Here is an 11,433-nt window from a genome sequence, read left to right on the forward strand (position 1 = left end):
TTAGCTCTTTAATGGGAAAAGTCTCTGTTTTTTTTTTTTTTTTCAGTTTCCCTCTTGTCGCCCAGGCTGGAGTGCAATGGCGTGATCTTGGCTCACTGCAACCTCCGCCTCCCGGGTTCAAGCGAATCTCCAGCCTCCTGAGTAGCTGGGATTACAGGCATGTGCCACCACGCCCGGCTAATTTTATATTTTTAGTAGAGATGGGGTTTCTCCATGTTGGTCAGGCTGGTCTCAAACTCTTGACCTCAGGTGATCTGCCTGCCTCGGCCTCCCAAAGTGCTGGGATAACAGGTGTGAGCCACTGTGCCCAGCTGTTTCTGGTTATTAATAGGAACAAAATACCAGGGCATGCTTTGTCTAGGTCAGTCCTCATTCTTCATTGTGGATCAGAATCAGCTGGAGAACTTGTCAAAATGCAGATTCCTGGGCTCTGAACCCCCGAGTTATGGACTCAGTAGGCGTAAGAGGCCTGAGAATTTGCATTTCTATCCAGCTCCCAGGTGATGCTGATGCATAGGTCAAGGACCACACTTTGAGAAGCACCGGCGGGGAACACAGTGTTACCAGGTCTTGGTCTCCATCCAATGCAGTAAACACTATGCGATAACAACCTGGGGGCTTTTGAGCTTACAGGAACAGTCAATGCAATAGAAGCACGCGCTGCTAGGTCTCCAAGGAAACAGGGACAGTCTCTTCTCCCGCTGTTAGTTAATGAGAGTGTGGTTGTAACTAAACTACTGGCTAATTACCACGATCGTGGGAAGTGTCCCAGGTCGGCGCTATGAGCTTCTGCCACTAGGGGGAACCAGGGCTATTTCTCTGCAGGCTCCAGGCTGTGAGAAGAGGAAAAGTACTGAAGAGAGCGAGCAAAGCCTTTCAGAAAATACTGCAACACTGCGTGCCCGAGGCCCCCGCACATCGCTGCAATCTTGATGTGCACAGACACCGTCGAGAACCAAGGCTTGGCAGGGAGGGGGGATGGTTGATTTTCTAAGTTGTTTGGTTTTCCTCCCTTTCCTTAAAGTACATCCACATTAAGCCGTTTATGCCGCGGGTGACCTGTAGTATGAGAAGAAACACAGGTCGCTCTCCTGGCTTTGCAGATAGAGTAAGCTCAGGAGAGAGGGAAAGGAGCTGGGCAAAATGCCAGCAAGGGAGGGCTGGGCTGGCGGGACCCAGATGTTCCCTGCCCAGGAGCGTCGTGGAGAGAAGGGGAGGCATGCCTGGGGTTTGGACTGGCCAGCTTGCAGGTGGCTGTCAACCCTGAATGTTGTGGCATAGGTCAGGATGAGGTCCCTTGGGGTGGGGGAGGCAGAGTAATTCCTAAGGGAGAAAAAGACAGGAAAGCAGGTTTTGGGGCTAAGAAGACAAAAATGACTGAGAGGTTATTTTACCTGCCTTGAACTTGCAAACAAGTATGGGTCATGACCTCTTGTGAGTGCTGCCGCATGCCCTGTCAGCTGCTGTCTTCTGGGGACACGCATATTCTGACCGCCACAGAGGGCAGCATAACAGCCACAGTGCCTGCTGAGCAGGAACGTGCCGCCTAACCGGTCCGTGGCGTCCCTGCCTCTTTCTCCCTCATTAAGCCTCTTTCCCAGGACCACAGCTTTGGAAACAGCTTAATCTCTAACAAGTGATCCCGCAGGGACTTGCATTTCAGTCCCTAAAAACCACTCTGTTCCCTTTCTCGGCATGACAGTGGCCTTCTAATGGTTTCGGAGATAAGATATGAGCCCAGGTGATGTTGGGACGTGCAGAATCCATGGTGGGCTGCATAGGTATTAATTCGAGGAACAAATTTCCATAACGTGTGTGTTTGTGGGCATGAGGGTGTACACCTCAATGGCAAATTATCATAACAAAACATTAGCTATAAACATTTAGTTTGAGGACTTGGCGTATAGTTCCAAAAAATGATCTCATTAGCTTACTAACATTCACTTGTCCCTGTGACCAACACATGCAACTCACTGTTCGGAGGGAGCCCCCATCACAGCTAAACAGAGGGACCAGGAGTCTTCCTTCTTAAGCTGCAGCCTGACTTTTCTCCAGCTTACTGTGATAGTTTTCTGGCATGAGCAAAATAAGCAGACCCTGTCTCTCATAATTGAAAAGCGTGTGTGTGTGTGTGTGTGTGTGTGTGTGTGTGTGTGTGTGTGTGTATGTATGCATCCTTTTCATATTCCTTAAAACATTTTTAGCAGGTAAAATCATGTCTCTATGCTATTCTCTCACTGCCAGCCACAGAAAGGATCTTACACAAAGAAGTCCATGGGGCTCCCCTTCTCCTGCACTCAAGTCCTGGATAGGAGTTCTGACTTTTCTGAGTGACAGTTCCCAAAAGGGTTCCTTTTCACCTTTGTTGAATGCAGAAGCAGTGGCTCTTCAAGAGAGAGCATCTCCCTCACCCCTTAGTCATTCCGAGCTATTTGGCTCACAGGTACTTTCAGCATCAGATCTGGTCCTGACTCCAGCTTCCACTGAGTACACATCCTTAGGGCCTCTGCAGGGCGGTGCACCCATGCCTGGGAGGCCTCTCCATCCCTGGATCCCTGCGGCCACTCTTCAAGGCTCCTATTGCCAACCCAGGGATCTGCTGCTCCGTGCTGCTGTCTTGAGCACTGCCTGGCTGCTTGGACCAGGCAGGGCCCAATGACCACAAGTCAGGGAATGGAGAGAGGTGTTTGCTGCAGATTGAGATTCTGATCCTTCCTCTGTCCTTGAAGGACCCTCTCCTCCCCTGTCTCCCTCGCAGCCTTCTCCAGTGCTGGAGCTGACCCGGAACATCAGAGACAGGAAAGTCACTGCTCCAGTTGAATTTTGCTGCAGTTTCTTTTTTTCTCCCCTAGATGCTGAGAGCTATTTTTAGACAGGGACTTTTTTTTTTTTTTCAGGGGATCCACAGTCTATTTTTAAAGGACTTACGGAGGCCACATCATTCAGTGTTTCTCACAGGGACTTCAGAGAGAGTTAGGTGGGACAGGCCAGAGCAGTGGGGGTGCTGGCACCTTCCTGAGGAAGAGAGGGTATCAGGAGAGACCTGGGGAAGGTTGGGAGAAGCGTGGTGCCCAGGCAGGGCAGAGTGGGCTGCTTTCTCATGCTGGAGAGCATACGAGGGACTCACCATGCTCCTCCCTCCAGTCACCCCAGGCTTCGGGGCCAGAGCTGCCTGACTATCTTCCCATCCCAGCGGCCACAATGACATTGCCCTCCAACATGGCAGTGGGTTTAATTGACTGTACTTTCCTTCCTTTTTCCTAAACGTCTGTGTTCAGATGGCTTCTGCATCTCCTCTTTCCATGGCACTCCCTTGTCTCTGCAAACTGAGCTGTGGAAAGTTTTGGATCATGCCTTGGGCCTGAAGCCAGCCCCAAGAGGGCAAAGCTGAAGTCCTGGGTGAAGAGGGGACCTCGTGTGTCACAAGATGGAGACCAGGGTGGATAGGCTCCCGCTGCGACAGGGAGGATACAGCCAGGCGGTGATCTTGTCCTGGGCTCCCCAGGAGGGAAAGAAGAAGGAGGAAAAGGAGGAATCAGAGGAGAGCCATTCAGAGTGACTTGGGCAGAGACAGTAACAGGCTGCGGTGTCCTCGGAGACTCCCCTAGACCTGCTCTTTCTTCCACTCCTGAGTCCAGCCCTTAGTGTATAACTCCAAGGTCTGTGGATTTGGGGTCTGGATTCACAAGACTAGGATGGAGTAGTCAGGGAGAAGGGCCTGGGTGGAAGATTCCAGACAGAGTTGGTGAAAATGCTTCCAAACAGAGCTAAAGAGCTTTCCTCTCAGTGAATAGACAGGGGACTGCCCTCGCAGGAGCCCTGCGGCCACCCCATTGCGTGAGCCTCTCATGCTTCTCCTTGCTGTCTCCTTGCAGGACTTAGGCCGCAGGGTCAGGGCCTGGAACTGCTCTGAAAATAACTGGGGATTCCTGGTGCTCTCTGAGTCCTCCTGCCAATCTTCAGTTGTACCAAGAAGTGAGAAGGAAGGAGGCAGTGAGTGAAGAAGTCTAATTCCAGCTCGTTAGCCGACACCTGCACTGCCCTTCAGAAAAGGGCAGGCTGGGAATGCTGTTGTGTGGCCCCCTTTGGGGTGCCAGGACCCCTGGGTAAGGCTGCGTGCCTTGGGTGGGAGCTGAGACATAGCCCGGGCACCTTCTGCACAGTGGATGGGCCCGGACAGCCTGGCATCCCTGGCTCCGTCAGCAGGCAAGGAAGGGGCGAGAGCGCAGTGTGCTCCTAGAAAGATACTTATGCTCCCCACATCAAAGCCTCCCACCGTCATCTTCCTGAGAGCCTCAGGCAAAGCTGCGGGACCCTCTTTCCCTGTTCACATCAATCTTCGCAACAATCCCGGGATGCCAGGTCTGCCCTCATTCTGAACTCTCCAGAACCCCCTAACTTTATCAATGGTGACTGTATCAGTGAGGCCCTTCCTGACCACTCTTTTTAAAATGGTCACTCCCCTCGCTAGCACCCACCCCCCACACCCTCCTCACCTAAGTTGCGATTTCTCCCACCTGCCATAGATCTCACCATAGATCTCCCCACCTGTGGTTTATTATCTGTCTCCCGACAGGATCTCCACAAAGACGGGGTTTTGTCTATTTTGTTTATGGCTAAATCCCTCAGTGCCAACAAACATGAAGCACCAAATATATATTTGCTGAATGAATTAAGAAAAAGAGCAAAATGTGCCATGGCATAAGCATCCCTGGGGAAACTTTCTCTCTGACCTTCTCTCACTCCAGCCCAGCAGAGAATTTAGGGAAAAAAGTGACCACTCACCCCTTCCGCAGCAGATCAGTTCAGGCCCTGGAATAATCAGCAGTTCAGAACCTCAGCATATCAAAGCAGGAAGGGGCCAAAGAGATAATCAGATTTAAGCCCCACATTTTTGTGGAAGAGGGAACTAAAGCCCAGAGAGGTGAAGAAACTTTTCCAGAGTCACACAGCCAACTGGTGACAGCAAGTGAAACCCAAGTTCCCCGCTCCCAGGCTAGAATTCCTTCAATAAGCTCAAGTGGCCACAAACCTCTCTGCTTAGAAATGTGGAATTAGCCAGGTATGGTGGTGTGCACATGCAGTCCCAGCTATTTGGGAGGCTGAGGCAGGAGGATCGCTTGAGCCCAGGAGTTTGAGGCTGCAGTCAGCTATGATCATGCCACTGCACTCCAGCCTGGACAACAGAACAAGACCCTGTCTCAAAAACAAAACAAAACAAAACAAGAACAGAAAACAATCAAACAAAAAGCCCAGAAATGAGGGAAAGCATTACATTCCCTCCCAGGCCAAGGAGGCCAAGGACCTCTTGACAAGCAGGATAGGATTGTCCTCGAACTTGGGGCTAACAAACCCAAAATCCAGAGTGACCGGGCTCTTTGCCAGCTGGAGGATTCTGGGAGGCGCTGAAAAACGTGCCTTGTAAGATGTCTACTCTCGGCAGGACCCAAACTACACACAGGGAAGAAACCATATCAGCAGGGACAGACACTGCTTCTAGAGGCCATCCAGGGCTGGCCATAACCTCCACCCAGTGGAGTCAATGTATATATGTATTTGCAAGGAAGAGCTAGAAGCTGACCAGAATATAAATATATATATTTCACAAGTCACTCTGAATGGGAAAGCAGACCTGAACTCTTTACAGCCTCTCAGTTCATTCCCTTTCCCTACACAGCACCAAGCAGGAGTCAGGCTCAGGTCCATGGGGCTGGCAATCTGAGTGACATGCCATATCCCTCTGTTTTCCACTCATGCGGCACCATTGCTCCTAGACGGAGAGTGTGTTCAGTCTCCAGAATTAGTTCATTCTCAGGGGGTATCAATGCTTCATATGAATCACCTGCTGTGTTAGATTCTCCCCATTGGGCCTTCAGATGTGTGCAGATGAGTCTGAATTTATGTTGAACCCAGTTTCACATCTCAAGCTGCTGTTTTGAGATGAGTCAGATTGGGAAGGGAGCTGGCAAGCTAGGGAGTTCAAACATCATGTGGACCCATGAAGGGTGTTAAAGGTTGCAATAGAACTGCATTAGAATGTGGATAGCATTTTCCAATTTTCACATCACATTTGCTTACACTGGGTCATCCTCTCCCTTTTAAGTCTCTATGATGATCCACCAGCTCTCCAGGGCAATTCTGCCGCCTTGACAATCTCTGGAGTGGATTGGCCCTGGAATGGGATGGCTTAGACCTGAGCTTCCAGGTCTGAAGGTTTGCATCTTCCAGGAGGAGGTGGTTTCAGAAAAGAACTAGGGCTGAGCTAATAGTAACCTGTGCAGGGTGGAAAAGCCCTGGGTTAAGTCTCATCAGTAGAAAATTCCTTTTGTCTCTTTATGTCTCAAATGCAAGTGTCTTACTTGGCTACTAGTTTATTTATCTGATCATAGTGTGGGGGACCTGCAAAGTCAGAGCTGTTAACTGGGCACTAGAAGCCTTCAAAACCCGTCTTTACCAGTGTTGGAGGATGAGAGTGGATGGCACTGAATTATTTCCTGAGATTTTCTGGTCTGAAGAAATTTCCACTAAGGGCTGAAGAATTCAGAAAGATGCATGGGCAGATACTTACTTACAGCCCAAGATATTTATGTGAATAATAATGATGATGATGATCTGAGGTTGATAATAATAAAGATAAGATGATGAAACTAGTATCAGCAAATGTTTTTTATATGCTAACTCTTTACTGGGCATTGGGCTGAGTCCTTGACATGCAATAACTCATTTAATCCTTACATTAACCCCAGGAGGTAGGTTCTTCTAGTATTTGCATTTTGCACATAAGAAAACTGAGGTTCAGAGAAGTTAAGTAGCTTGCCTGAGGTCACATAACAGGTAAGTGCTGAAGCTGAGCCTCACATGCAGGAAGTCTGCTTCCAGAGCCCCAGGGATGAAGCAATACCTTCTAGCACGTTTTTAGTTCCTGGTTACCTCTCATGCATTCCAGATCTGTAATCCAGGTAATGCCCTCAACTCTCCCCGAAGAAAAAGTTAGCGTGCTCTTACCCAATAAAGGGGACACAAATAGAGTGCAGGCAATAATTAGAGTTGCCTGGATAGCATATATGGAAAACAGCCACAAGAGGAGATGGTGCACAAAACAGTGGAAGGAAAAGAAACTAGAGAGGTGGGTTGGCTGAGGAAATGAAGGAGGTTAGGGTTTAACTGTATTCTGGAGGCGTGAGGGAGCTATTAGAGGTTTTGGAGCAGGGAAATGATGAGATCAGATCAAGCTTGTATTTAGTGACTAAGATCTGGAAGGTGTGATTTTATGATTCTATCTGTATTCCTTCATGTCATAGCAGCAGGAAGGCCCTCTCTTCCACGCACTTCTGAGGCTGTGCAGCCTGTGAGGTGGAAAGCAATGGAGCATCCTCCCATGGAGAAGGAAGTTGAGGCTCGCTTATGGGTTCCATGCCATTCTGGCTTCCTAGAGCACTTGGAGATGAGGAAATACACCTGTGCAAGCAGTGGTGTGTTGGTGAATGCTTAGCAACTGACCCTCTGGTGGAAAAAAGCCCTGACTAGAAGCATTTGCAAATTCCTGTGGTAAATTACTCCCACTGAGGCTAATTTCAAGCTACAATATGATGTCCACTGGGTTGCAGAACTCCTGAACATTTAACAATGAGTTCCAGCAAATCAGCATGAGCTGGCTCCAGCGCCTCTGCGTGCAGTCTGGTGGCATCGCCGGGCGTGTATTCACGCAGACCTGGAGGGAGCTTGCAGACAGCTGATGAGAAAGGCAAGGTAACTTGCCCAGGCCACAGCTGACTTGGAGACGCAGGAATTGAATGAGGGGTAGGAGCCGGCATCTTGGTTCCCAGGCCGTGTGTTTATGCAGGCTCTGTTTAGGAAGGCAAAATTTGATCTTTGCCTGGTCCGCCTTCAGAAGAGAAGGGATAGCAACATTTTTCCTCTGGCTCCTAAGAAATATGTGTCAGCCACAACCTCCTACCCGAACTAGAAAAACAATGTCTTGGAATATTTTTAATAGTGAGTATAAATCCCATACAGTGATGGATGAAGTGTGAAGATTCAAGTCCAGAGTGTCTGCTAGAAGATTACAAATCATTTTTCAGTTTGCATGGTGCTTCTATTCATTGGCTCATCCACTCAGCCATTTATTCAATCATTCAACTGACATAAATTGGGAGCCCCGACATGGAGATGATTAGCAACAGAAGAGAAGGACCACCAGTCAGGTACTGATGAGAGAGCAAGGCCAGTTGGTGGAGGGAGAGTGTCAGAGATCAGAGGTCAGAGGCAGGAGCAGACCGTTGATGATGAGTCTTCGCATGCAAGAAAAAAGTTACAAAGTCAGCAGTAACTGGAGTTTCAAGAACCAACAGGTGAGAAGCTCAGGACCAGCAGGTGGCTGGGGAGTACTGAGCACCAGTGAACAGAGAACGTTGCTCTAAGCAGACTTGCTCCAGTCACTGGGCACTTACACCCTTAAAAAAATAAATGAATTTATTTATTTTTTTGAGACAGGGTCTCACTCTGTCACCCAGGCTGGAGTGCAGTGGGGTACCATCTCGGTTCAGTGCAGCCTTTGTTTCTTAGGCTCCAGTGATCCTCCCACCTCAGCCTCCTAAGTAGCCTGCAATCCCAGCACTCTGGAAGGCCAAAGTGGGTGGCTCACTTGAGGTCAGTTGTGTACCACCACAACTGGCTAATTTTTGTATTTTCGGTAGAGACAGGGTTTCACCATGTTGGCCAGTCTGGTCTCGAACTCCTGAGCTCAAGAGATCCACCAGTATCGGCCCCCCAAAGTGCTGGGATTACAGGTGTGAGCCACTGTGCCCAGCCTACACACTTTTTATTGGGACAAGAGACAGCATCAGGTAGGGGATTGCACAAAGGTGGAACAGGTAAAAGGAAAGGAATGAACGCTTGTAGAGAGACCCTGGCATCCACAGGCACTGTATGAGACTTGTTTTTTCAAGTCTTATCAGCAAAGGGAGACTTTCGTGAGCTAGGTGGTATTATTATTTACTTGAGAAAACTGATGCTCAGAAAGTTTAAGTGACTTGCCTATGGTCACACAGCTAGTAAGTGGCAGAACCAAGGGGAATGAAATAAGCAGCGGAATACAGATTCAGCCAAATTGGCAGCTGAGCCAGTTGGGTGTCTCCCCGCATATGAGGGCTCTTTGGCTATTGGTGGGCTGGAGTGACTAGGGGCAGACAGGGCTGGAAGAAGGACAGCGATATTTTCATTCTCTCCAGGCCACTAGGAGCAAGGTGTTCACTGTCCTGTCCATGTGTCCTCCCTGGAGGAAGGGATCTGAGTGTTTACACAAGGGCACATTTCTGGTACGCTGAGGAGGGCCAAACTGTAAACGGAGATCATGCCCCCAGCTCGGCAGATGCCTGAGAGTGAGGCGCTCGCTGACATGCTGATGGAGAACAGGGACTTCTTGTTTACCCGGCTCACCATCTGGACTCATGAAGCAACGTCCAAGGAAGTGGCTGTAACTAAAAGCTCAGAGCTACTTCCCTGGCTCCCTCCATGCTTGTGCTACTGCCTGTCCAGGTGCAGAGTGGCTGGTAGGGGAGGGAGGGCAGGGGCTCAGAACAGGGGCAGCGTGGGGATACTGCCATGGGGTCTAGGCAGGGTGGATGGTAACTGCGAATGTCTGGAGGTGAGAGGTTGAGCACATTCTCTCCGAGGACTTTTATGAGTGAATGGACTTCTTTCAGAAGAGAAATTTAGATCAGACAAGTGGGAGCACTTTCTCATTAAAGAGTTGGAAAACAGTACAATGTGTTAAGCAGACCATTCAGTGAAGGGCTTTTCTTAAAAAAATTTTATTTTAGGTTGGCGGGTACATGTGCATGTGTGTTACATGGATATATCACGTAACAATGAGGTTTAGGCTTCTAGTACATATACCCTTCACCCAAATAGTGAACATTGTACCTAGTAGGTAATTTTTCAACCTTCACCCCCATCCCAACCTTCCCATTTTGATAGTCCCCAGTGTCTCTTATTTCCATCTTAATTTCCATATGTACCCAATTGTTTAGCTTCCACTTATAAGTGAGAACATGCAGTATTTGATTTTCTGTTTCTGAGTTATTTCCCTTAGGATAATGGCCTCTAGCTACATCTATGTTGTTGCAAAGGACTTGATTGTATTCTTTTTACAGCTGCATAGTATTCCACAGTGTATATGTACCATGTTTTCTTTATCTAATCCACCATCGATGGACATTTAGGTGGATTCCATGACTTTGCTATTGGGAATAGTGCTGAGATAAACATACAAGTGCAGATGTCTTTCTGATAAAATGTGTCTTTTTGATTTCTTTTCCTTTGGGATTGCTGTGTCAAATGGGGTTCTATTTTTGGTTCTTTGAGAAGTCTCCATACTGTTTTCCATAGGGTTTGAACTAATCTACATTCCCATCAACAGTGTATAAGTTCCTGGATTGCTTTTGGGATTGGTGGAGAGAGACGGCTGGGAGCAGCGCCTCTGCCTGGTTGGGAGGAGTAACTGATGAGGGTGACTCTTTCCCAGTCTAGACCATACAGTTTGGGAGACATCAACTCATTCCACTTGAAAGAGCTGAGGAAACTGGGGAGGGTTTGAATCGTTGCATCCTTTGTGGTGACGTGGGTGTGAAAGTAGGTCACTCGTTCTCTTGCCCTATGCCATTCCTGCCCTTTAAGTGGCACAGTGATCTGGAGAGTCCAGAATTGTGAGCAATCCTCAAATTGTTTCTGTTTGGCATTAGGATGCCCTCTTTAATTGCTTTGGTTCAGGCTAATTTGAAAAACTGCTTTCATTTTGTATTGGTCAGGATAGAGTTGCACCAAATGATCCCAAAATCTCAATGGCTTCACTTGATAAATTGTACTTCTCACTCACATCACAACTGCATGTGAGTTGGTAAAAGAAGGAGGGCATGGGGGAGGCTATGTTCTAGTAGTCATTCAGGGATCCAGGCCCTACCATTCCCCAGCGCCATGGTTCTCCACTGCTTGTGGCTGGGAGGTAGGGGAGGGAGGGAGGAAGAGAGTAGGATTTCTCAGAAGATTTTTAGGCACTAGCTCTAGAAGTGACATAAACTATTCATGACTATATTCCACTGACCAGAATCAGTTATATGGCCCCATCTACTGCAAGAAAGGTTAGAAATGAAGTGCCCAGGAGGAAAAGGACCCTGGGTTTGGTGAACTCACAGCAGTGTCTCTGGCCCACATGTCCTGAGTTTTCTGGGAGCACAATGCATATTCGTATTAGGGGAATGGGTTGTAAGGTCCTCTATGATTTCCCTCACAGACACAGGCTGAAATAAGCACTGTGTGGATAAGTCATAGCTGTTTTAAAAGGGCCATGATGCATTCTCCTGGGGAAGCAGGACTCTCCACTCTGCGTTGTGGAGACACCTGGTACTGGTGTCAGCTCTGTCCTTGTCATTGGGA

At 48.5% G+C, this 11,433-nt stretch overlaps 2 annotated features.

Moving 5' to 3' along the window:
* Positions 455 to 1,098: an enhancer, noted in NCBI's record as "NANOG-H3K4me1 hESC enhancer chr12:4966717-4967360 (GRCh37/hg19 assembly coordinates)". NCBI's record gives its function as "activates a minimal SCP1, AML or CMV promoter by ChIP-STARR-seq in naive H9 embryonic stem cells {active_cell/tissue: H9 hESC(naive)}" and the evidence as "EXISTENCE:reporter gene assay evidence [ECO:0000049][PMID:30033119]".
* Positions 627 to 921: an enhancer, noted in NCBI's record as "tiled region #168; HepG2 Activating non-DNase unmatched - State 4:PromP". NCBI's record gives its function as "activates a minimal TATA promoter and a strong SV40 promoter by Sharpr-MPRA in HepG2 cells {active_cell/tissue: HepG2}" and the evidence as "EXISTENCE:reporter gene assay evidence [ECO:0000049][PMID:27701403]".

Source organism: Homo sapiens, chromosome 12, assembly GCF_000001405.40.
Source record: "Homo sapiens chromosome 12, GRCh38.p14 Primary Assembly".
In the NCBI taxonomy this organism is placed as follows: Eukaryota; Metazoa; Chordata; class Mammalia; order Primates; family Hominidae; genus Homo; species Homo sapiens.